Here is a 27,203-nt window from a genome sequence, read left to right on the forward strand (position 1 = left end):
TCCCCACCAACCTCTCTGCTCTGCTGTCTTCTATGTTGGTTTCCTTCTGGGGCAACAAGATGGCGGCTAACAGCTCCAAACTCATGCCTGCACCATTCTGAGTCCAGTAGTAAAGAGAATTTCTCTCTTCTTCACAGTTTTCACAAAAAATGCAAGCCTGAGTGAGCCTGAACCAGTCAGAATGGACAAGGGGACTGAAGGAGCCTCTTACCTTTGGCCTAAGTCAGTCTTCTCACCTGGCTCTTGGAAATTCCCACCAAACCATGAGAACATGAAGGGAGGAGGGGTTCCCCAAAGGACAATGAAGGGCCTTACCTGAAGCAGGAGAATGAGGACTTGGTAGATGAAAACTATAAGCATAGAAAATGTTTTCCACCAAGGGGGAAGCTGAATGAACTACAGGAATGGGCAAGACTATGAAGAGAAAGAATGGTGGGGAGGAAGGAAACTTATTAAAGTGTTTGGGGTCCCCATTCAGTAACCTTGGGAAATCTAACTAAAATGGTGTCTCCTGATCAGAGACTTTATTTATCCCTAAATTTCAATGGCCAATCTATCATCACATAATTAGTGATGCTGTGCTTTGAATTTATTACCAAGCCTGGCTTTCTGCTGTTGCTATTGGACTTGTACCATATTGCAATGTGAGCATGGAGATTATTGTATAAATTATTCTCACTCACATAATCATCGTGATTTTAATTACTGTGTAATCTTTGCTAATTACTGTTGTATGTATCATTTGCTTTGGTGCCGATTTAACACAACTGCTTTTCGTTTGGCTAAAAGATGGCATTACAACTTTTCCTTTTTGCAGGAGAAAATTTGCTTTCTGTAAACATTTGCAGCCCCAAACTCTTGGCTTGCAGTTCTTGGTTTAAAAGGAAAGATCCAGACCCTACCACCAGCCCTGTTTGTTTTTATTTGGGATAAGGCTGGCTTGAATAAGTAAAAAGGTCTAAATTACACAGTATTGTCTTTAAAAAAACAGTTGCGTTACTTTCAAAGAAGGGCAATTACTCTACTACAGACAGGAAGCCAAAGATGGGTCATGTGAGGGCTGCTTAAATGATGAGATAAGACTCGTTTGTAATTAGTTCATTAATTATGGATATGTGAATAAATGGTACTTAGCTTTAAAAAACAGCTCGTTCCCAAAGTGGGGTAAGCATCTGATGCTAATCTTATTTCAATAGTACATTTATTTACTGGTCTCGGCATTCTTAGAAATGGAGCTCAGGATAATTTTAATCCATCCTGGAAATACTTAATGAAAGGGCCTCTCATGAATATGGTTTTATGTCTTCCTAGGACATAAGGAGTCTTTTTAGTTTTATCAGTATTAGGAAGATTAGTGGAAAAGATTTTGAAACTGAATGCACAGAAATATTAAATGCAAACACATTAACCATGGACCAAAGGCCTGAGCAAGTGAAAACAGGTGAAGTCTGAATGTAGACACAGGATTTATCCTTAGGACCCAAATCCCTCTCAGACAGGTATTTATAGGAAGGAAGGCTGTTTCCTGTCTAGAACTCGAGGTCTTGGATGGTAGGTCTATGGACCTTTTAGAAAATTTGAGGTTCACCTAAGCTGCAAGTTTGTAGAAAACTATTTGGATACATCGTTGATGGTTCAGAACATTCTTTTAAAATCTGTGGTTCTCTGATTAAGCTAAGGTTTTGTTACGCAAATTTACCATTGAAATATATATACAGGAAAGTGGATCTTGAGGAAATTTTCAAAAAATTGATCATACCTAATTAATTTGTAATTACTAACAAAATCAAGACTGGACCATTACAGTGCCCCTACAACTTCCTTGTGCCCATTCAAGCCACCACCTCCTCCTTCCTCAAAGAAACCCACCATCCTGACTTCTAACACTGTATATTAGATATGCCCCTTTTTGAACTGTGTAAATGGAAGCATCCAGTATGTCCTCTTTTGTGTCTGGCCTCTTTCTTTCGATATTTTTTCAAGATGCATCTACACTGTTGCATGTAGCAGTAATTCATTTATTTTCATTGCTCTATAGTCTATGTCAGTGGTTCTCAACTGGAGGCACTTCTGCACCACTACCCATCTCAACAGGGGACAGCTGGCAATGTCTGGAGACATTTTTGGCTGTCATGCTACTGGCATCCAATGGGTAGAGTTCAGCGATGCTGCCAAATGTCTTACAATGCACAGGACAGGCCACATAGAATTATCGGGTCCAAAATGGCAATTATACCACCACTGAGAAACCACAGTCAATAATATGCCATTGTGTGAACATAGAGTAATAATTAATTTATTCTATTATTAATAGACAATTAGGTTGTTTATGGTTTCCCATGATTATGAATAGTATTACTGTGAACAATCTTGTACACATCTTTTGTTGCATGAATATACAGATTTCTGTCGGGCGTATACTCAGCAGTAGAATTGCTAGGTGTGTTTTCAGCTTTGGTAAATACTGTCAAAACAGTCATTCCAATTTATGTAACCATAAGCAGTGAATGAATGTTCTGGTTGCTCTAAATCCTTGCCAACGCCTGGTTTTGTTATTTAAAAAATTAGCTATTCTAATAGGTGTTAGTAGTTTCAAATTTTCATCTTCACTCACATTTCCCTGGTAAATAAACCTTTTTATATGCTTATATCTTCATTCGAATATCCTCTTTAATGAAGTGTCTGAGAAAGTCTTTTGTCCATTATTTTTATTCTTCTTTGGTTATCCATCTCTTTTGTATTGATCTGTAGTTCTTTATGTATTCTAAATGCATGCCCTTTATAAGGTATGTGGGTTTTCTTCCACTCAGTCACTTACCTTTTTCACTCTCTTAATGGTTTATTTTTATAAGAAAAGTTCTTAATTTTAATGTAACCCAGTTTATAATGTTTTCCTTTATGGTTGGTGCTCTTTATATACTGTTGAAAAATTATTTGCCTACTTTGAAATCATGCAGTATTTTCTTATTTTTTGTAGACATTGTATTGATTTACCTTTTATATCTAGATACACAATGCATCATGAATTGATACTTATTTGTGATGTGAGGTAGGGCTCATTGTGGTGTGAGGTAGGGCTCACTCTTTTCCATATAGATATTGAGTTGGTCTAGCACATATATTTTAGAGAAATGATACTGTCCACATTACACAACAGTATAAATTTGTCATAAATCAAGTGATCTTATGTATATACGTCTGTCTATTCTATTTCACTTTTCTATGTGTCCATCCTTGAACCAATATAGCATTGGAAGTATAAGTTCTCCATATTAATTATTCTTTCAGGTCAGCAAATGACTCTCAGGGAAAGTGCCACATCATACTGTATTCACCTTCAGTGTATTTCCCTCTTTGCAGGATTTGGCCTTTTGAGTCCTGGCTGCTTTGATGGCTTCCCACTGTCCTTAAATTTGAATTCTACTTTTCTGGCTTTCCAAGTAGCTCTGGTGCAAGCTATTACATCTGGAAGCTGAGTGCTGAGCTAGGCTTTTATTCTCTTACATAAATAAACATTTTTTTTTCCAATGTACACTTCCACCAACAGTGTATAAGCATTCGTTTTTCTCTGCAACCTCACCAGCACCTGTCTTTTTTTGACTTTTAAATAATAGCCATTCTAACTGGTGTGAGTTGGTATCTCATTGTGGTTTTGCTTTGCATTTCTAATGATCAGTGATGTTGAGCTTCTTTACATATGCTTGTTGGTCACATGTATGCCTTCTTTTTAAAAGTGTCTGTGCATGTCCTTTGCTCACTTTTTAATGGGTTTTTTTTTTCTTGTACATTTGTTTAAGTTCCTTATGGATGCTGGATATTAGACCTTTGTCACATGCATAGTTTGCAAATATTTTCTCCCATTCTGTAGGTTGTCTCTTCACCCTGTTGATAAGTCTCTTTTGCTGTACAGCAGCTCTTTAGTTTAATTTGATCCCATTTGTCAATTTTTGCTTTGGTTGCAATTGCTTTTGGCATCTTCATCATGAAATCTTTGCCCATTCCTGTGTCCAGAATGGTATTGCCTAGGTTGTCTTCCAGAGTTTTTATAGTTTTGGCTTTTACATTTAAGTATTTAATCCATCTTGACTATTGTAGAAAACAGCATGGTGATTCCTTAGAGACCAAAAGCAGAAAAACCATTTGACCCAGCAATCCCATTACTGGGTATATACCCAAAGGAATATAAATTGTTTTACCGTAAAGACACATGCATATATATGGTTCATCACAACACCATTCACAATAGCAAAGACATGGAATCAACTTAAATGCCCATCAATGGTAGACTGGATAAAGAAAATGTGGTACATATATGCTATGGAATACTATGCAGCCATAAAAAAGAATGAGATCATGTCCTTTGCAGGGACATGAATGGAGCTGGAGGCCATTATCCGTAGCAAACTAATACAGGAACAGAAAACCAAATACCACATCATCTCACTTATAAGTGGGAGCTAAATTATGAAAGCACATGGACACATAGAGGGGAACAACACACACTGGGGCCTATCAGAAGGTGGAGGGTGGGAGGAGGGAGAGGATCAGAAAAAATAACTAGTGAGTACTAGACATAATTCCTGGGTGATGAAATAAACTGTACAACAAACCCCTGTGACATGAGTTTACCTATATAACAAACCTGCACATGTACCCCTGAACTTAAAAGTTTTTTTTCTTACTTTCTACACCTAGGGAAACACGAACTTTCACTTATATTTTCTTCCAGTCCTAACTTAGTGCATCTACCACCCCCTCTAGAATGTAAGTTACTTGAAGACAATCACTATTCATCTCTATATTGACAGCATCTGTCTTCATGACACTCAATAAATGATTCAGGATGGACGCAAGGAAATATTAATGGATGCATAATTTCCATTCAGTTAAAGCTGCATCTTCATGGGGAACTGGGTGCTTTTATGAATGAGTCTGAGATTTTCTGTCACTATTGCCATTTCACCATACTCTGGTGAGACAATGTCTCTGCATGGAAAGTGAAGGGATGCATTAAATTCACTTAAATATGTTGAATCCAAATTGAATCTACAAGCCAAGTAGATTTTAATTACTCTACAAATCTAGAATTGTGTTCTTCAAAACATTGTGAAAATTGTAGCAGAAGGTAAAAGACTCGAGTTGTAGAGCCAGTACTTGCACCATCTCATCAGAGTGTGACTTGGGAAGTTCTATTCCCTTCTCTGTTTTCCTAGGTGTAGAATGAGGGGTTCAAACCAGATGAGGCCCACACCTCCCTCTCAATTTGATATCCTAGAAATTGATCACATCCTGTAGAAATGAAACAAGGCTCTTGGCTTGGTGTTAGAAATATGGAGAACTCACTTTAGATTGTGTACTGGAAGTGGGTTTTGAATCTTGTTTTTCAGCCAGGAGAAGTGGATGTGACTGACCAGTGAGTGGGGATACTGGGTTCTGAATTATTCAGCCCAGGTGAGGCAGCCCTTTGCACATTCTTTCTGCAGTTCCACAATCCCCCATCTTTCTGTTCCTCCATTCCTTCATTCTTTCCATTCTACAAGCTTTCTTTGAGGCAGTCCTGATGCTGGGGATTCATAGAAGAAAGACATGGTCTACTCCAGAAACTCCAGTATCTCCCAGTCTTGCTGGGAGATACAAATAAGTAAATAGACAACCACAGTACAGAGGGGGACACAGGAGGCTGTGGGAGCCAGGAGAGGCCCCAGCCCAGGCCAGAGGGCGGAAAGGCTTCCTGGGGGAAGCTACAGTTGGGCTGAACATTAAAGGGTGAGTGAAAATGTTTGTTTGTGTGTTTTTTCTTTAAATATAGAATAATGGTTTATGAGAATCACCTGCAGAGTGTCAGTTCCTTCCTCTCTGACTCCCTCCTAACTCTTTTTTATTAGGCTAATTTCCTTCCTTCCTTCCTTCCTTCCTTCCTTCCTTCCTTCCTTCCTTCCTCTCTGTGCCTCTCCCTCCCTCCCTCACTCACTCACTCCCTTCCTTCCTTCTTTCCTCCCTTCCACTCCCTCCCTCCCTCCTTCTTTCCTTCCCTTGCTCCTTCCTTCCTTCCTTTTTCTTTCTTCCTTCTTTTTTTAAATTTGTTAACAAAAGAGGACACTATCAACTCGTAGCTTCTACTTTGATAGTTGTTAGAATTTTCCACATTGACTTTATTTCTGTCTTTAGCTCCTCCTCTACATCTATGTTTAAACACATTTTCCTTCTTCCTTCCTTCCTTCCTTCCTCCCTTCCTTCCTCCCTCCCCTCCTCCTTCCTCCTCTCCCTTCTCTTTTCCTTTCCTTCCCCTTATGAAAACAAGTTGACAACATCACAACAGCTCTCCTTAAATAGTTTCGCATCTTTCTTCTAAGAAGGACATTTTCTAACGTATCAGTATCGCACTTAGGAAAATTAACAAATCCATAACATTATCTAAGATCTCAACTTTTATGTTACCCAATTATCCTAAAACTGTCCTGTATCACTGTATTTTTATATTATCCCCTTATGTATTTATTTTTCAAATTTAATTTTTAAAAGCAGTGGGTACATGTGCAGGTGTGCTACAAAGATATATTGCATGATGCTAAGATTCAAAGAATGATTCTATTAAAGAATGATACTCATTATATTTGATTATGCTTCTTTAGTCTCTTTTAAGAAAAATAATAGACTTTTTAGTTTTAAGCTGTTTTAGGTTTTCACAAAAAGAGCAGAAAGCATAGAGAGCTCCCATATATCCTTTTTCCCTGTTCTGTTTTTCTTATTATTAACATCTTGCATTACTCCTCCATCTCTTTTAAATGAGAACGATCCCCTTATCACCACCCAGCTCCAATTTTACTGTTTTGTTTTTTTTTTTTTTTTTTTTTTTGCGGGGGCAGGGGGTGTAGAGTTCCAGGGGTGACTTGAATGGGCAACTCTATGCAAAAATCACTGACCTTAGTCCCTGGTAGCCAGTAAGAATGTGTAGGTGAAGTCAAGGCAAATTCTGCTGAGTCACATAAGGCATGCAGGCAGGTGTCCACTCAGGGCAGCTCGATGGATTGGTTTGTAAAATTGTCAAAGACTCGGCCCCGACCTTAAGCATCAGAGAGAACAGCAAGCAAGCCTTGAGAGCGACCTTGTCTCATAAAAACTGCCATATTGTAAGGAATGTAGGATATTCACTGTGTCTGTTTCCTGACTCTATTCCCCATGTCAGGAGTGGCCAGGCATGGGGACAGCATGGGGACAGATTGCTGCTAATGTCACCTCCTCCTCACTTCCCTGCTCCCTTGGCTATCCTTCCCCCAAACCCCAGCACCCTCCTTGCTTTGAACTTCCCTCTCAGCTAGGGGTGGGGGAGCTTCCTAAGCCTCAGTTTTCTTGCCTGTGCAATTTAGGTATCAGCCCTTGCTGGTCAAGGGTTTTGCAGATTGAATAAGCTAAGAATCAATAGGAGGAATCTTCTGCTTTTGCTTGGAGTGTCTTTCTTGAGCCATCGCCGCCATTGAAATCCTACCCTTCTTCCAAAGCCTGACTCAACCCACCTCGTCAAGAAAGGCTGTGCATGGCCAGGCGTGGTTGCTCACGCCCATAATCCTAGCACTTTGGGAGGCTGAGGTGGGTGGATTACTTGGGGTCAGGAGTTGGAGACCAGCCTGGCCAACATGGTGAAACCCCATCTCTACTAAAAATACAAAAATTAGCTGGATGTGGTGGTGGCGAGCACCTGTAATCCCAGCTGCTTGGGAGGCTGAGGCAGGAGAATTGCTTGAACCTGGGAGGTAGAGGTTGCAGTGAGCCGAGATTGTGCCATTGCACTCCAGCCTGGGTGACAAGAATGAAACTCCATCTCAAAAAAAAGAAAGGAACGCTGTGCACCCAGGCACCAGTATTGACTGCTGTCTCCCTTGCCAATCTCTTGCTGCATTTATAGTCTGTGCTTCACAGTTTCTCTGGAATTTCTTGCATTGCTGACCCTTCTCCATGGTTTTTTTCCAGACTCAACACCTACACTGCTCTCCCCAGGAGGGGAGGGCAGCCCATCTTCTGCTGCTATGTGCTGAAAACATTATAGGTAGACAGACCAGCATGGGAGTCTCAGCTCTGCTCCTTCTCAGCAAGCCCATTTGCCTGTCTTAGCCTCAGCTTCCTCATTTATAAAATGGGACGATAAAGGGCAGTAGAGCAGAGCAGTTGGGAGCCATGGGCCTGGGGTAGGACTCCTTGGTTTAAATCCATGTTCTCCCACTTATTACATGACAAATTACTGATTCTTTCTGAGCCTCAGTTCTGACTTGGGAAGATTGCAATATCTGCTTTAGAGGACTGTTGTGAGCGTAAACTTGAGTAAAGTCTGCAAAGCCTAAAGGCATAATACATGATAACTCTAATGATGTGCTATTTACCTGCACACCACAGTGGCTTAGTAAGTGCCTCCCATTCCCTGCATAATGCATAGTCCTGGGTGCCATGTCAACTTTTGTTACAGACTCTCTGTTGTTATTTTGGACTCAGTTACCAAATATTCAGGTCATCTTCAAAGAGCATCTGGTTTCCCATCTCAGGCCTCACCAGTATTAAAGAACATCAATATGTTTTTAATTTCCTCTTTAATTTCAGGGAGTGGATGAAGAACGGGGGGTGACAGCACGCTTTGGGGGATGATTCACGGTGTCATTAAATCTGCATTGAGTTTCCTGTAGCTACAATTGGCCCAGGCTATGACCACACTCAGTCCTGGGAATTATGTTTTGTTTGTTTTGCTGTGTGATTAAGTCTAATAACAGTAAATCCAGCATCTCCTTGACTTGGACTTTCTTGGTTCATTACATCGCAGTGGATCTTGAAAAATATGTATGTGTAGATGTAAGTTCAACTGGTTGAGTTTCCCGTCAGCCTTCTGCCCAGTAGGTGTGTGATGTAGTGGAAGAAGAAGAATGGGATTCAGATCTGGCCCACCAGGGTTCAAATGCAGGCCCTGCCACTTAGCAGTATGGCCTTGAGCAAATGTTTTCTCACCACTGAGCCTCAGTTTCCTCATTTGCAAGATGGGATGATGCCTCTGATTTTGATGCGGTGATGCTTCTTAGCTTGATGAGATGCTGCATACGATACATGCAGATATAGGTGCCTCCTTCTTTGTTCTTCACCGATTTTCATGGAGCATCTGCTTCTGTGGCTGACACTAGAGATAAAATGATGGGGCCCCATTCATAAGATAATCTGAAAGGGGAAGGGGTATGGTCCAAGCAGGAGACACTGTCTCAGACACTAGCTCGTTCTGAGGCTGAACCAACCACTTCAGTCTCCACTTCCCTTCTCTGTGCTGTTCACAGTAGGCTCATACATAGGAATTGTTTACTCTTGAACATCTGTCCTCAATCTGGGGACTTCTCTAGCACTGATGAAAGAGGTCATTAAAAGCAATCAGACAAGGGTTAAGATTTTAAAATTTATGTTATACTGTTATGTCAAAGGATTAACTTTGAGATAAATAAGTCATGTATGGAAGTTTAACTGTAGTGTCTTTTGCCTCATTGGTAGTACTGGGGGTAATGGAGGTAGAAGTGGCTTCCACTCTTAAATACTGAATATGCATATGGCATGCATCATCTCTCATTTCTAACAAGACCCTGGGACCTAGGGCAGTGTCATTCTCACTCTTACACCTGTGCAAGTTCAGGCTTCAAAAGATAACTGGGGGCCCGGGCACCGTGACTCACGCCTGTAATCCCAACAGTTTGGGAGGCCAAGGTGGGTGGATCACTTGAGGTCAGGAGTTGGAGACCATCCTGACCAACATGGTGAAACCCTATCTCTACTAAAAATACAAAAATTAGCCTGGCATGGTGGTGTGCACCTGTAATCCCAGCTACTCGGGAGGCGGAGGCAAGAGAATCACTCGAACCCTGGAGGCAGAGTTTGCAGTGAGCCATGATCGTGCCACTGCTCTCCAGCCTGGGTGATAGAGCAAGACTCCGTCTCAAAAAATAAAGAAAAGAAAAAATACCTGGCTTGGAATAGACAGAGCTGGGATTTGAACTCAGGTCTCTCTGCATCTGAAGCTCTTTTTTTGCTTTTAGCCTTGCAGGTTAGAAAGAGTGGCAATTTCAGTATTCCTGAGTTTTCATGTCCTAGTTTACCTAATAAACTTCTATAACTTGAAGCAACCCATACTTACAGCATTTTCATATAAATACCCTTATTCATCAGTTCATTTAATCAGTCCAGTATTTATTGGAACCTAGTATGTGACAAGCACTGGAGCATGATTCATAACTTGAACATACATTTTATTGAGCACCTACTATGTGCCTGAGGACTGGCAATTCACTCATGTATCCAACACATGTTTATGGAGCACCTACAATGTGTTAGGGCCCTGGTGCTTCCCTCACTCACTCAACACAAATTCATTGAGCACCTACTGTGTCCTAAGACATTATTCTATAGACACTGGTAGCAGTGAATACAATAGATAAAAATCCTGCCCTCATGGAGTTCTTATCTCCACAGCATTGCAAGGCCAATCTAGTTTCCCTCATTTTTCAGCTAAGGAAGCTGAGGGTTAGAGAAGTTAGGCAATGGTCCCCAGGTCACATGGCTAGTGAGTGGTGAAACCAGACTTGGTTGCCAGCTGTGTGTGCTTGCAGAGGTTACTCAGCCTCTCTGTGCCTGGAGGTCATAATCCCTATCTCTCAGGGTGGCTATGAGGGTAGGAGCCATCCGTTTGCTCTCTCCTATATTCCTGGTATCCAGCACAGCACCTGGCGCACAGTAGGTATCTAGTCAGGGGTAGCTGTTGTGACCAATGACTATTTCATCCACTAAGTTATAGAACCAGCCCCGGCATCTTTGTGGCTGGATGCTTATCCTCTGGCTCTTTCCCATAGCAGGTATACCAGAAGGATATTCCTTTTTGGACAGACTACAGGGTGGGCAGAAGAAGTCTCCAAGGCTTTTCTGGAGCCTCTCCTTGAAGAGTAACAGTGCCCCTGCCTATCCTGCCTCATAGTGACTCTGAGAGCCTTCTATACGTCATCCCTCTCCCTGGCCCAGGCTCTGGGAAGCAGGCACGGTAACATGTTGATTATCTGACATCCCTCCATCATGATGATGGAGAGTTCCATCTGAGCCACACCGACCTGGTCCTGTGAGGACAGCTAGAAAAAAAAAAAAAAGACTCTTACTGGTCCCCGGATGAAGTCAGACAGGATGTGTTTGAAGTGTCCAGTGCTGGGACAGGAATGGGGATGATCATCCAGCCTCACTCAGCAGAACTTGGGATCCTTATCCCAAAGCCTACAAAACGGCATCTGAATTCAGATTAAATTCTTCAGTCTCTATACAGAAAGAAGTGGATGCAAGGAACTTTATACCTTGAGAGGTGGTGCAGACAGGAAGTAGAAAAAGCACTTGCAGAGATGTAGGTGGATTTCTGCATGGGAAAGCCAGGAAGAAGCACTTGGCCGTGCTTCTTGCCCTCTCTTCCTTGTCTCTCCTCACTCGACCCCTACTGCTCCTCTCCAGCCCCCTAGGAGTCTACACTACGTGGCTTGTATTCCTGTTTTAAGCTCACCAGCTGAGGTTTCAAAGGCACCAGACCATTTCAGAAAGGTAGGACTCAGCTCACTCCAATCTCAAGACATTAGACCCCATGACAGCCAGGCTAGGCCTGAGTGGCTGTGCTGGGACATCTTGGCTTCCATGCCTTGTAGAAGGCATTGCTCCTCAAGGGCCCCAGGGAAGGCGAGTGGATCTTGCCCTGTGCCAGCATAGCTGGGAACCTTCCTGGCTTGGGCCCAGCAAACCTATGGCCTCTGTACCTGATTGCCAGCACTCACAGACTGTGACCTCCAGATCCCCATTTCTGGGCAGCTGGCTACTTCGCCATGGACCCCAGCCTATCTCGCCTTTTTGTTAAAGCCAAGATGGCAGATCCTTAGTTGCCGGCCTGAAAGGCCTCTGTTTCCCCTCTCTCCTTCTTGCGTTTGCCTAAGTCTCCTTCCTTCTTCTCCATCACCACCGCCCTTCTGGGTCTCCTTCCTCTTTCTCTCCATCTCATTTCAACTTCTTTCCTGTTTAAACTGCCTCCTCTTCTTTCATGCTCTAGCCTTCCTTCTCTTCTTCCCACATTTCTTTGTCCTCCCTCCACTTTTCTTATCCTGACTACCTCTTCTTTCTCATCTACCTTGATTGAATTCGACAGCATTTGCTGAGCATCTACTACATACTGGGCTCAGTGCCAGTTCCGGAGGTGCAGAAATGAGAGTCAGCAAGACACTGTCAGTTCAGACTTGTGGTCTGTGATTCTCCTTCCTCCTACTTTTATGCCTTTTTTCCCCCCTATGTTTTTGGCTCATCTTCCTCCTCCCTCCTCCTCCTCCTCCTCTACCTCCTCCCTCCTCCTCCCTCCTCCTCTTCCTCCTCCTGGGACTTCTTCACCCTCCGTTTTCATGCCCTGCCCTGGTGTCCGCAGCCAGCAGTGGCAGTGGGAGCTAGGGTGAGCAGGATGGCAGAGTCCCGGGAGATTCAGTGACAGGAGCCCTCAATGTTGCCCTCCTCAGGTGGCAGGCGGTGGATGAGACAGAGCATCCAAGACACTCATTCATCACACCCGCCTCCTTTCAGGGCCAGGACAGGATGGAAATGACTTTTGTCAGTTCTGCGGCAGCCCACTGCCCCTGGCAGCTCCAAGCTGTTTATTAATAAAAAGTAAGGAAGAAAAAAAATACAGGCGTGTGAATGCCATCTTGCTGTGTATTCGAGGAGGGATTCCAAAGCAATGAAGTTGACAAATATACCTTCAGGGAATCACAAAAGAGCCCTCCATCTCCTCTTCCAGCCCATGTCCAGCTATGTTGGGAACAGACAAGAAATAGGAAAGGAGGGAGCTGCTCTGGGCAAACGTGTGGCTTTTGTTTTAGCACATAGGAACCAACCTTTCTTCTTACGGTGAGACAGAAGGTCACTTGCCCATTCATTCTTCTATGCATCCCTCTTTGAACTTCAATTGAGGCTTTTATTGAGTCCAGTGTGGGGTTGGGTTCTGGAGATTCAGAAATTAAATAGTAGTAATATTGATTGCCTTTAATTATTAATGATTAATAACCATTTATTATTGGTTATAAATTATTCATCATAACCACTAACCATTATTTGGGTAATTAGGTGCCAGAGACAGTATCAAGGGTGTTTCTTTCACTGTCCCAGCTGCCCCAGGAGGAAGGCACCATGACTAGGGGTCGGGGAGTAGAAGGAGTACTCCGGGTAGAACCACTCCTGCAAGACCCAGAAGCAGGGAGGGCTTGGCCTATCCCAGGAGACCAGCGTCCTGGAGCAGCATGAGCAAGAGGGCAGGAATAGCAAGCCTGATCACACAGGAGAAGGATTGAGGGTGATGGTCAGAGAGAGAAAGGAGGTAGCTCCTCCACATTGCCACCTTGACACCCAGGTCTTACCGTCACCAGACCGCTGCTGTAACCCTCCTCCACCCATCTGACATAGGGAGTAAGGAGAGGCAGATGATCACAGCCAGCTCTATGTCTTGTCCTCATGAAGCCCTTTAGCCGGGCCCATCATTGCCATGGCGATCTCACACAGGCCCCCAGCCTGGGGAGCTCCTGCCAGACCTGGAGGAGATAGGTTTGTGGGATCACTGAAGCTCTGTCCTCAGGGGCGCTCAGGAAGGCAGGGTCTAGGTGCCTGTCTCAGTCTCTTCTGGCTGCTATAACAAGAACACCATAGACTGGGTGGCTTATAAACAACAGAAATGTATTTCTCATAGTTCTAGAGGCTGGGAAATCTAAGATCAAGGTGCTGGCAGTTACATTTGTTGTCTGATTCATAGATTGCCATCTCACTGTGTCATCACACAGTGGAAGGGGTGAGGGAGCCCTCTGGGGCCTCTTTTATAAGGGCACTAATCTCATTTACAAGGGCTCCACCCTGGTGACCTAATCACCTCCCAAAAGCCCCACCTCCTAATATCATCATATTGAGGATTAGGTGTCAACATATTAATTTTCGGGGGAGACAAACATTGAATCTATTTCAGCCCCCACCTATTTCCCTGGGAAAGACACTGCTCTCCTACCCCAGCCATTCCCTCCCGTGCCTTCCATGGCCATCACCTCAAGGGAGCTTTGGGTTGGCTTCCTTCCCAGATTCAAAAGCCCATTGGGTCACTGTGGTCAGTTCTATTTCTCCTAAACTGTCCTGTGTGATCAGGAGTGGAAGTGGTGTTACCCAACTGGGTAAGCAAGAAGTCTTCCTCAAAGTCTTGTAGCAGAATCTCAGTCACCCTTTATACATAGAGTTCTGAATCCTACAATCGTCCTGATTGTTACAGTTCCAGCAACAAAGCACTCAGAGGCAGGGACCCCATGATTGGAAACCCGCGTGTGCATCGCCCTCAGCATCTCTTCAGGCCTGAGCCCACAGTGGCTTTATCTGCAGTGCCAACACTCTGACATTTGGCAACTTTTTTACTTTTTTAAAAAATAAATTATAACTTTGGTGAGGGGAGGGAATGGGGTCGTTTCTCTTAGAGAGAGGACAAATAGATTTTATTTATTAAAGGAAAGGTTGATGGACTCCAGTCTCTCTCCTTTGAATGATGCCATTTATTTTACAGTCTATAATTTGGTCCCACTGTGAGCCTCCTACTTTTCAGAGGCAAAGTGTTTTTGGCGCTGCTGCCACAAACTCCCTCTGCATAAAAACCACGTCTGGTGTAGTCCCAGAATAGAAACCGTCTGTCCTCTTGTGTATAGTCTTGGTTTTAAGTTGATTTCATGTGAATCTTTCCCTTTTGGGGGAAAAAGATTTTACCTACACCGTCACCCCATGAAACAATCAGGGATGTCATGGGGTATCCCGTGGAGACACATATTTGGGTCTTGACTCTCAGAAGCCCCACTTGGTGGGACTGTCCTCTAGGCTTGGCCCCAAATAAACAAACAGCCCACTGCATGTCCCCTTCCGGTCTTGAAGAAGCAAACTACTTATTTCACAGTAAGCTCTGGGATGATAGGTCCTATCATGTCAGATATGATGCCTCATAAATCTAATTCATCCGTCCTAGCTGCAGTTTTAATCTACTCAAATGTACTTAGCTGGGTTTAATTATAGATAGAAATTGCATTCGGAAAGCAACAAGAAATCATTTACATGGCTTGAATTTGCACATTAAATCATATGGTTCATTTGAGAGTGCGGTAGGGATGGTATTTCCAAAGAAAAATAATATTAGTGCCTGTGCTTAGGGGCTCTCACACCGATTGCACAAATTGTATGAATTGCACAATTTCTACAGACTGCATTTTTCTTCTTGGCACAGGATAAACGAAGAGGCTGGGGACACTGAGAGGACCCAGTCGGCATTGGCACTGAGCAGAGCCCGGTCCACCAATGTCCACAGCAAGACCTCAGGAGACAAGCCTGTTTCTCCCCACTTTGTCCGCCGGCAAAAGTACTGTCATTTTGGGGACGGCGAAGTGCTTGCCGTCCAGAGAAAGTCCACAGAGAGATTAGAACCTGCTTCCTCTCCCCTGGCTTCTCGGAGTACAAATACATCCCCGCTGTCGAGGGAAAAGCTGCCCAGTCCTTCAGCGGCCCTCTCGGAGTTCGTGGAAGGGCTCCGGAGGAAGAGAGCCCAGAGAGGCCAGGGGTCCACGCTGGGCCTAGAGGACTGGCCCACTCTCCCCATTTACCAGACGACTGGGGCCTCCACACTAAGGAGGGGCAGGGCTGGCAGTGACGAGGGAAACCTCTCGCTGAGGGTTGGGGCAAAGTCACCCCTGGAAATCGAAGGGGCCGCTGGTGGTCTCTTGAGGTCCACCAGCCTCAAATGCATCTCTTCAGACGGTGTTGGGGGCACAACCCTACTCCCCGAAAAGTCGAAAACCCAATTCAGTTCCTGCGAGTCCCTCTTAGAATCCAGACCGAGCATGGGGAGAAAACTGAGCTCTCCGACCACACCCAGGGACATGCTGTTGTCGCCCACACTGCGTCCTCGGAGGCGGTGTCTGGAGTCCTCTGTGGACGATGCGGGCTGTCCAGACCTTGGAAAGGAGCCGCTTGTTTTCCAGAACCGCCAGTTTGCCCACCTGATGGAGGAACCTCTAGGCAGTGACCCATTCAGCTGGAAACTCCCAAGCCTCGACTACGAACGCAAGACCAAAGTGGACTTCGATGACTTCCTCCCAGCTATCCGGAAGCCCCAGACACCTACCTCCTTGGCTGGATCAGCCAAAGGTGGGCAAGACGGTTCACAGCGTTCAAGCATCCACTTTGAAACGGAAGAGGCTAACCGTTCCTTTCTCTCGGGGATCAAGACCATTTTGAAGAAGAGCCCGGAGCCCAAGGAGGATCCCGCTCACCTGTCTGACTCGTCCTCATCCTCCGGCTCCATCGTGTCCTTCAAAAGTGCTGACAGCATCAAAAGTCGACCAGGAATCCCACGACTTGCGGGTGACGGTGGCGAGCGAACGTCCCCCGAGCGGAGAGAGCCAGGGACGGGGAGGAAAGACGACGATGTTGCGAGCATAATGAAGAAATACCTCCAGAAGTAGGAACCAGTTCAGGTAAAAGCAACAGGCTGGGGCTATTCTTGGGGGAATGAGAGTTCACCTTGCAGCCTTGGGGAGAGCAGGTGCCACTACTGTCCTTAATGCCACAACCGATTTCTCTAGAGACCAAGATTTTTAGAGGTTTTAGCTGAAGTCATGTGTTGATGGATGCAAAGCTTTTCAGAACCCCTCTGCTGGGTACCTCTACTTCCTTGTACTTTGAAATGCAGACACATCAGAAAGTAAGAGGTTCCTGTGGGATACCGCTAAAGAAGGTGCCAGATGTAGCCGGGCGCGGTGGCTCACGCCTGTAATCCCAGCACTTTGGGAGGCCAAGGCGGGTGGATCACCTAAGGTCAGGAGTTTGAGACCAGACTGGCCAACAGGGTGAAACCTCGTCTCTACTAAAAATACAAAAAATTAGCCAGGTGTCTTGACGGGCGCCTGTAATCCCAGCTACTCAGGAGGCTGAGGCAGGACAATCGCTTGAACCAGGGAGGCAGAGGTTGCAGTGAGCTGAGGGTGCCACCACTGCACTCCAGCCTGGGAAACAAGAGCAAAACTCTGTCTCAGGGAAAAAAAAAAAAAAAAGGTGCCAGATGTTTAAAGTTACCTCACCCTACTGTCATTTTCTTTTCTTAATGTCATTCCACCTGGGTTTGAAGGAGCTGTGATGGCGTTCTGTCCACATAATGACAGAAGATCCGTGGTGGGATCACAGACATGCAAAGGGCCAAGTTGGAAGAGACCTTCAGAATAGTGGAGTCCACTTGCATTGCATATGGAGAGAAACTGAGGCCCTAGGTTCAGGGGGGAGGGAACAAGTACAAAAATCACAGAGCAACAATGCAGGATAAGTAACTACTTGCTGCCCTTCCTCCCTCTCCTAGCACTCATCCTGCCACTCATCTGGAGTCAAGGTAAGAAGAGGAATTCAGGCCGGGTGCGGTGGCTCACGCCTGTAATCCCAGCACTTTGGGAGGCCGAGGCGGGCGGATCACGAGGTCAGGAGATCGAGACCATCCTGGCTAACACAGTGAAACCCCATCTCCACTAAAAAAAAATAGCAGAGCGTGGTAGCGGGTGCCTGTAGTCCCAGCTACTGGGGAGGCTGAGGCAGGAAAATGGCATGAACCCGGGAGGCGGAGCTTGCAGTGAGCCGAGATCTCGCCACTGCACTCCAGCCTGGGCGACAGAGCGAGACTCCGTCTCAAAAAAAAAAAAAAAAAAAAAATTCATTGCTAACCAAGGCTTACATTTATTGAGAGGACACATCAGACAGTCATTTAGTACTCCTGATATCCCCAAGCAGTGGTGAATGTTATTTATTCCCATTTACCAGGTTGACAGACTGAGTATCAGAAAGATTAAAGTCACTTGTACAGAATCACCAGGGCATAATTGGGTTTCCAGCTCTAGAATCCCTACATTTATCTTTAAAAGTTTTCCCTAGGGACACATTCCAGGCATCTTCATGAGTGAAATTAGAGCTGTCTGATAGCGTATGAGCCTTCGTAAATCTCCCAGTCACTGAATCTCAGAACTTGCTGCAGCTCAAGGCTCTGATGGTCCAGCGACTGCACATGGCTCTCAGGGTGCACCTGCTGCCACCCCCAGGCCTCCTTGACCCAAATGAGGCACACGTCCTCTATTTCTTTGAGAGACAGCCTCAGCCCATCAAAAAGCCATTGCCCCTTCCGTGGAGACAGGTTTGGACTCTATCAGAGCAAACTAATTTGACTTAACATGGCCTTCTCTCTGCTCTCAATTACCGAGTAAAGATCTGATATTCATTTACATTATTATGCTCTCGGGGACACAGAAAGCAGTTTCAAAGGCCAAGTAAAGGGCACACATCCATGAGGGGAACAGTCCTTAGCAGAAGTCATCACAGAACATCTTGTCTCTGCCATTCCGTTTTAAACTCAAGTCCTCCTTCCCTACCCTGAGCAAGGTTCTTCTCCAAGGATGCTAGTTTTTCAGCTATACAATGCAACACCTCCAACGATGCAAATGCATGGTGGGCTTTGGAACCAAACAAGACCCCCCAAAGCTCAGTTCTGCCCTGTAACTAGCCATTGGACCCTAGGCAAGTGATACAGTCTCACCAAGCCCCTGTGTCCTCAGTTGGAAAACAGGGGTAAGAATACCAACTACCTAAAGTAACGCTGTGGATTTCATGAGAATATGAGAGATTCCTGGAATAGAGCATGGCACCCCATGGATGCAGTAAATGCCAGGTTACTTTGGAATTTTTGGACCTTTGGGAAATCTATCCCAACTTTTTCTCCTTCTGCCACCTACACTCTGCCATCCCTTTCTGTGGAGTTGCTACAGTAACGCCACCTGGGTATACAGAATTCCAGGCCCTCCACCCCATTCATTGTCTCTATCAAAATGTACCCATCTTCCTGGCCAGGCACAGTGGCTCATGCCCATAATCCCAGTTCTTTGGGAGGCTGAGGCAGGAGGATCACTTGAGGCCAGGAGTTTGAGACCAGCCTGGGCAACATAGTGAGTCCCCACCTCTACAAGAAATACAAAATAAAAAATTAGCTGGGTGTAGTGACATGCACCTGTAATCCTAGCTACTTGGGAGGCTGAAGCAGGAAGATCACTTGAACCCAGGAGCTGGAGGCTGCAGTGAGCTATGATTGCACCACTGCACACTAGCCTGAGTGACAAAGTGAGACCCTGCCTCCAGAAAAAGAAAAACCTTACCCATCCTTTGTCCCATTCATCAACTCTGACCTATGTTTGCTTCCAGCCTCCTTGAAGCTGCCCTTGAAGACTTCCCGACTCTACAATAACTTGGAGACAGAGAGACTGGCCAGGCCTCCCCGGTGGCCAGAGCCAGCCAGCATGGCCACCCTCAAGAGGCGAGATGAGCCCACAGAGGCATATCCTGCGGGGATGCTGGGCTCCCAGTGTGGTTGGCCTGAACAAAATAAAGTGTTGACTCCTGGGCATCTGTGCCTTCTCTATGGCCTTGCTACCTGGGATTCCAGAGAGTTGATGGGGTGCAGATAGGGGTAGGACTGTTAGAATAGAACCAACCCAAACTGTGTGTAGTTTGGGGTGTATACTTCTATTTCTCTTCCTACATGTCTACATGCCATGACCTTCCTCCTCCTCTTCACTTGGCCAGTTTCAGCTCACTTCCTCCAGGAAGTCTTTCCTGATATATCAAACTGAAACAAATGCTCCTCCTCCATGCTCCCTTAATCCCCATGCTTGTCGATTATATTCCTTTGCCAATTCATTTCTCTATCCTGTGTATGTATAAGTGTGTACAAGCATTCAAGAAACTGATGAATGATGAATGAATGAATGAGCCAAAGAACAAATAAATGAGCCCACACACCCTGAACGCATGCGACACACTGATATATATGCATCCTACAAATGTGCACCCACATCAACATTCAAGAACCTTGAATTTATTCCCTTTTTACCAAGGCGAAGCTAGCATATGTGTGCCCACATTTAGGTAGCAAATGCTGCCTTTATTTAAATTCCCACTAGCATAGACTCCATATCCTACCCCAAATTTGTCTCCATCCCCAGGACCCCTCTGGTGTAGCCAATCATAGCTCCCACCCGTGGGAGGGAATTCCCATTTGGATCACAGTTGTGTTAGTGTTTGCTAGGGCTGCTGTGACAAAGTACCATAGCTGGAGGGTTGAAGTCCAGATTCAAGGTCAGCTGGGTAAATTCCTTCTGAGAGCTGTGAGGGCCTCTCTCCGTAGCTGGTAGATGGCTGTCTTCTCCCTGTGTCTCCTCAGTTCATCTTCTGTTCATGTCTGTATCCAGATTTCCCCATTTTATATTGGATAGGGTCTGCCCTAATGACCTTATTTTAACTTGGTTACCCTGTAAATACCCTACCTTTAAATTAAGTCACTTTATGAAGTACTGCGGGTTAGAACTTCAACATTTTTTGAGTGGGGCTGGGGAAGTGGGCACACGATTCAACCCATAATAACTGGTAAGGTCACTCCAAAAAGAGGAGCTCTCATCTCTGATCATCCTCACTAGAGACTCTGGGTAGAAGTGAGGCAAGGGAGGAGGATGGGGCAGGAGGGAAATTCACTGGAGACCTCACCGTCTCTGGAGACCTTCCTGCCTCTCTGATGGAGCACGTTGGTGGAACAGTGGACCCTGTTGTCTCTGATGCAGACACAGTCTCCCACTTATTGAATCCACCATCCACCTCTTGCCATTCACAGGAGGGCTCTGGGTCACTGGAGAGTGCTGGGACACACGGGGAAAGGGGCCAGGACCTCTGCGGAGTCAGAAGCCCTGGCAAAGAGGAGGCACCACCCAAAAGCTCGCCAACACTTAGGTGTGGGGTGGGAATGGGAGAAGACCCAGGCTCTTGCACGAGGTTCTCCCAAAGCTTTCTGCAGTGAAATCCATCAAGTCATGGAGTCTTAGCCAAGTCACTTCCCTTGCTGGGTCTCAGTTTTCTCATCTCAGTAATGGGAACAACAGTTACTAAACTCTAATAAAACCTGGGAAAGGGAAAGTATAGCATACTGTATTAGTTTGCTAGAGATGCTGTAACAAAATTCCACCGCCTGGGTGGCCTAAACAACAGAAATTTATTTCCTCATGTTTCTGGAGGCAGGAAGTCTGAAATCAAGGTGTCAGCAGGGGTGGTTTTTCCTAAGGCCTCTGTCCTTGGCTTGTAGATAGTCGCTTTCTTGCTGTGTCTTCACATGGTCTTTCTTCTGTGTGGCTGCACCTCTGGCGTCTCTCTGTGTCCACATTTTTCTCTTATAAGAACAGCAGTCATATTGAAACAAGGCCTATCCTGATGGCCTGATTTTAATCACCCTGTTTTTTTTTTTTTTTTTTTTGAGATGGGAGTTTCACTCTTGTGGCCCAGGCTGGAGTGCAGTGGTGTGATCTCAGTTCACTGCAACCTCTGCCTCCCGGGTTCAAGCAATTCTCTTGCCTCAGCCTCCTGAGTAGCTGGGATTACAGACATGCACCACCAGGCCCAGCTAATTTTGCATTTTTTTAGTAGAGACAGTGTTTCTCCATGTTGGTCAGGCTGGTCTTGAACTCCCGACCTCAGGTGATCCACCTGCCTTGGCCTCCCAAAGTGCTGGGATTTTAATCACCCTTTTAAAGGTCCCGTCTCCAAACACTGTCACATTGTAAGGTATGGGGGGTTAGAACTTTTAACACATGAGTTTTAGGGGTTCACAATTCAGCCTGTAACACACAATGCAAAAGGAAGTGGTGATTTAATTATTATTATCACTTAATCTATTAATTTATTATTCATACAGAATAATTTTCATACAGAATGAATATTATTATACAGAATAATTTACTATTCATACAGGATACATATGTCCCAAGCTCCCAGCTTGGTCCACAAACAGAGGTAATTCGGGAAGTCAGGAAGAGATTATCAATGCCGGAGGGAACAGACTCACATTGCCTTCCTGGCATTGATGTTTCCTGGGCATTTTAGAGCCTGGAACCTTTGAGTTTCCATGCACTTCTTCTCTTCATGTGCCAGTAATATTATTTATTCAGTCCGTATTTTCTGAGTACCTTCTAAGTGCCTGGCACCGTTCCCCACACCCAAGCTCTAGTGAGCAGGCAGAGTCACCCTGCCTTTCTTCAGGGAATATCTTAGCTGGGGAGACAGACAATAAGCAAGAAAATGAATATACTGTCAGGAGCAAGCTGTACTATGAAGAAAAATAAAGATGAAATTATCTTGTGAGTTCCGTGTTAAAAATTTATAATACGTTTATTTTATGAAGCACGTTTTTATAAAAGAAGAAATCAGTCATTATTCTTCAATGATGTGTAAGGGATGCATCCAAAAAGGTTAATTTCAAGTAATAACAGCAAAGTCTTCCTCATTATGCAGCAGTAAACAGAAATCCTGAAGATGCTCATTAAAAGTCAATTCAACATGCTACAAGTTGACAACCATCCCCATGCCTCTCAAATCCCCCAACCCAACACAGCCTGGAGCAGAAGGTACTTACTCAACTTCATCCTCTTTCTTTTCTTTTCTTTCTTTCTCTTTTTCTCTCTTTCTCTCTCTCCCTCTTTTTCTCTCTGTATCTTTTTCTTTCTTTTTCTGTCTCTCCTTCCTTCCTTTCTTTTTCTCTTCCTCCCTTCCTTCTTTCTTTCTTTCCTTTCTTTTTCTCTTCCTCCCTTCCTTCTTTCTTTCTTTCCTTTCTTTTTCTCTTCCTCCCTTCCTTCCTTCTTTCCTTTCTTTCTTTCCTTCCTTCCTTCCTTCTTTCTTCTCTTTTTCTTTTTTTGGATGGGGTTTTGCTCTTGTCACCCAGGTTGGAGTGAAATGTGTGATCTTGGCTCTCTGCAACCTCTGCCTCCTGGGTTCAAGCAGGTCTCCTGCCTTAGCCTTCGTAGTAGCTGGGATTACAGGCGCCCGCCACCATGCTTGGCTAATTTTTGTATTTTTAGTAGAGACGAGGTTTCACCATGTAGGCCAGGCTTTGAGCCTCTTTCCTACAAGATGACTCCAGAAATTATGCAGTGGGCCCTGATGTCACATAGGCAGTGTGCTCACCCTTAGCACCCGGCGTAGTAAGCGTCATCCAAGTCTGTGACACTACCACTTCTGCTACCTGGGATATCAACATGGCCTGGCCCCTGGCCTGGGCTTTGCCACTTAGCCCCAGGTCAAAGAGTCTCTCTCTGTGTGACCTCACAGATGTCACTGCTTTCTGACCTCTCCTTCACTCATTTGGAAAATAGGTCTAAACTAGTACCAGCTTCCCAGCATCCTTGTAAGGAATCAAGAGCTCATGAATCAGCCCATTGATTGGCAGATAGCCTGCAGTAAATGGTGGCATCATTGTTCTTTGGTCTCAGAACTGCTCCCTGATGCCTCTGTGGCTCCAACCATATGGCTGTGCCCTGCTATGGCGTCCCTGCTGATGTAACCAAAATTATTTCAAAGGTGAGGATGTTGGTGGTCATGAATCCATGTGGATTAAATGCTCTCCTGCAAATGTTTCCTCTTGCTTTTATACCCTGAGGCCATTTTTAACAGGGCGCCCATGTCTTGAAAGAACCCTAGACCATAAGGACTAGATGAAAGCCTCAAGGTAATTTTACAGGTGGGGAAAATGAGTCTCAGAGAAGAAAGTGAGTTTTCCAAAGGCACTCAATAGCAAAGCTGAGTTTAGAACTCAACATTTATTCATTCAACAAATAGCACCTCATGTCCTGAGCACGGTTGCAGGCACTGTAGAAAAAGCTAAGAATGGGATAGGCAAAGGCCCTGTCTTCGTGAAGCTTATGGTTTACTGTGGGGGACGGGTAATATACTTGGAAATACATACATTGGCCATGTCCCTACCACCTGATGTCCCACCAGTAGTCCAGAAGCTACAGGTCATCCTTCTGTGTCTGCATGATATTTTGCCAAACACCAGGGGTTTGGCCTAAGTCCAGTTGCTCATATCGCAGACCATGAGTATTGCCAGGGAAGAAAATCTTTATTATGGAAATGAACAATTATCAAAATACTAACTGCAGTAGCAAATAACAAGCCCAAGAGTGTCCAAACCAAAACAGTCAGGGTGCCTTCTACTCTCAAGCCAGTCAACTGGGCTTGTCCAAACTGCAACAAATGGAAATTTCTTTGGAATTCCCCCAGATTGAGAGGAGAGACTCCTGCTGTCAGGGACCCATAGAGAGCACTCACCTGTCTGGATGCAGATGTCAGATTTCAAAGCCTGTTCTTCCTAGGCAATCAGGAATGCAATTGGGGCTGGCAGTGGTGATGCAGAAGAGAAGGAGACTGAAACCCATCTCTGGCCAAATATGCCTGGGAAGCTGCTAGGAGGGCTTCTGAAATGCTCCTGATCCATGGCCACTGAGCCGTAAGCAATGAATTCCTGATCGGAGAACCAGAATTTTGTTGGCAAACTCCAGGGGTTTGACCTAGGTCTGGCTGCTCACCACACAGAAAGCCAATCATTGAGACAACAAATGTTGCTCCAGAAGAAAAGCTGTATTGGAGGTGACGTCAGCCTAACTGTCAAACCTCTCCCTCCTCAACCAACTAAAGTTAGGGGTTTGTAAAGCAGGGAAGGAGAACAGGAGCAGCAAGAAAGAGGAGTTGGTCAACAGGCAGCAGGTGTGTCTCATTGTCTGGGTGCAGCAATCTGGAAAGCCTCAGCTTTCTGATACCATCCAGGAGGCTCAAAGGTCAATTTCCTGAGAAAGGAACTCAGATAAGCCAAATGTACGTTTCTCAAGTTTCAGAGGCCCTCTCCAGGCCAACACAGACCCAACCCTGTTTCAAGGCCCCTGGCTCTCTGCAGAGTTCAAGGATGGGGAGTTAAGGCTCTGCATTCTTTCCCACTCCCAAAGATTGTACATAGGAAGCAGAGGAGAGGGGAGACTGTTGTTGCAGCTAGAAGAGGCAGGTGTCAAAGGATGTTGGATGCAGCCGTAGAAGGCTCTGGTTGTGATTAATGGCCTGGCCAAGCTCCTGCTGCTGTCTTCAGAAGGTGATGGACAGTTCACACTGGACTCCCACTCCCTGGACCTGGTTGCTTATTTAGCTGTCAATATAGGCAGCTCCCTTCAGAGCATAGTGACAGATGTTAGCAGCTCTGGTGACAAGGTGACACAGTGACCCTGTCACCCTTTGTTAAGAATCATCATAGCTCCCATTCCTGTGTGTCTGTGAGGAGATAGGCACTGTGCTTGGTGATATTCAAACATCACTTCTAAGAGACAGTGGTTGGGATCCACTGTCCTATCCATGTGTTCTATATGTGCAAGGAGAAATATAAAATGACTCAAAATGCTCCTTTGTAAATAGCTGCATGAAGGCCCAGTAGTCTTATTCTGGGCTCGGTGGGAAAATCATTCTCATAGTTCAGGCCTACAGCTTGTAGGATTCACTGGAATGGCTTATTTAATCCTCTTTCCATCTCCCATCTCCTAGAGTCTAAAGTTTATGGTCTTCCTGCTTAGGCTTGCTGCAAAGGGTAGGGGAAGACATGGCTGCATTTACCAAAAGCCCTTGGTCTTCCCTTGATCCTCAGCTTATGCATAAAGAGGTTCTGCAGCAAAAGGTGGAAGGACATTGGAGGATGCAGTCCCTTAAAGCACAGTGGCCTCACCCTTGGTAAAGTGAGTCAGTGTCTGTGGCTGATGGTGATCAATTAAAGAGCAATTTTCATTGTTCAGCGAGTGAGGAGAGAGAACGTAACAAGGGGTCAAGTTAATGACTTTTCCCCATACCAGCCATTGAGACTCAGGACAGAAGCACAGACAAGTGGAGCTGGGATTTGAACTCTGGGCTCTATCTCCAAATACAGGCATTCTTGGTACTAACACCATGGGCTAAACTTGCAGTGTAGATCGTGCTTTCCTATAAGGTCAGCTGGCTGAACGGGCCTATGGATCACATCACTTCACCTGTGCCATCTCCTGGCTAAACAAACCTGGGCCTGCCTGCTCCATCTGGGAGGCAACGGGGACCAGTGTCTAGGACTAGGCTTGGGTTTACTCCTGGCTTTGCCATCTTTTAAGCTGTGTAACCTCAAGTGGTTTGTTAAATCCCTCTAATTCTTGGTTTCTTCTCGAGTAATAAGGGGTGGGAGAGGAGACCCTATCTTTAGAGCCTGTCTGGCCAGCAGGAGCATCAGGACAAGGATTATTATGCCCATTTTACAGATGGGGCAGCTGAGGCTCAGCAAGGCCAAGTGACTGGCCTGAGTTAGCAGTGCAGAAGCTGGGATTAGAGTTCAGAGCTCCTGACTCTTCATTCAGTGCTCTTCCTAAGACAGTCACTCTGACCCCGAGTCCCAGGCCTGGTTGTCCGGCCAGTACAGGGAACATTTGAAAGAGTTCCAAAGATTTCCCTGCACTAGCACAGGCAGGCGGTGCTCCAATCTGGGCCTAACACAGCACTGAGCCCTAGGAGGCATTCATCCCTATTGTTCACTTCAATCTCAAGCGACCTACCTCAAAAATGGGGTGGGGTAAGAGGATTGTTCCATAGGTGCCCAGCCTGTTCTCCCTTCTCCCATGTTTGAGGGAACCCAATTTTTGGCATCAAAGGCCTCTAGAAGAGTTTAAATGTGTCCTTTCCTAATAAAGAGAAGTACTGGAAATTATTCTTGCTGCTGGTGTTTCACTGGGTGTCTCATTTAGGGCTATGTGGGCATCATGGCTCATGGTCCATGGACTAATACCCCATACCTGTGCATGGAAGTCCCAGGAGTGGGTTTGGAGGGCATGGATGGGGACAGGCAAGAGTGTTCCTTGTGGCTGAGGAGCAAACACTGCTGGCAGGGCCCAGCTGGTACAAGTACATTACACTGGCCCCATCATTATTTTATATGCAGAAACAGGACCAGAGAAGGAGCATCTATTGCCTAAAGTCACACAGTAATTTGGAAGCAGACTTCAACCTAGTGTTTTCCCTCTAATTCCTGCTGCCTTCCACAGCTGGAGAGAAATGATTTGAGGATAATTCAGTCTTTGGGTCAATTGTAAATAACTAGGGTGCACTAAAGAATCCTGACAGCACCTCCAAGTTCTGGTCTCAAAGATTTAGGTCTACATTCTTTCTTTCTCTGCAATCCTGAGTGGCCCAAATTCTGTTCAATGTGGTGCTAAGCTCACCATAGGCGAGCT

At 45.3% G+C, this 27,203-nt stretch overlaps 1 protein-coding gene across 13 annotated transcripts in view; it reads left to right on the top strand.

The window, feature by feature from the left end:
* Positions 1 to 27,203, top strand: part of MYO18B (myosin XVIIIB) — a 321,660-nt gene that overhangs the window by 268,947 nt on the left and 25,510 nt on the right. For 12 of the 13 annotated variants that reach the window (XM_011530458.3, XM_017029014.2, XM_011530464.3 and 9 more), the window contains 2 exons: positions 15,311 to 16,556; positions 19,309 to 19,911. In XM_011530458.3, coding sequence (XP_011528760.1) covers positions 15,311 to 16,544 — 1,234 coding nt within the window. In that variant the 3' untranslated portion in view covers positions 16,545 to 16,556; positions 19,309 to 19,911. Of the gene's footprint in view, positions 1 to 15,310; positions 16,557 to 19,308; positions 19,912 to 27,203 lie in introns of those variants that run through there. The other variant, XM_011530461.3, reaches the window with a different exon arrangement.

This window comes from Homo sapiens, chromosome 22 (genome assembly GCF_000001405.40).
Source record: "Homo sapiens chromosome 22, GRCh38.p14 Primary Assembly".
Lineage (NCBI taxonomy): Eukaryota > Metazoa > Chordata > Mammalia > Primates > Hominidae > Homo > Homo sapiens.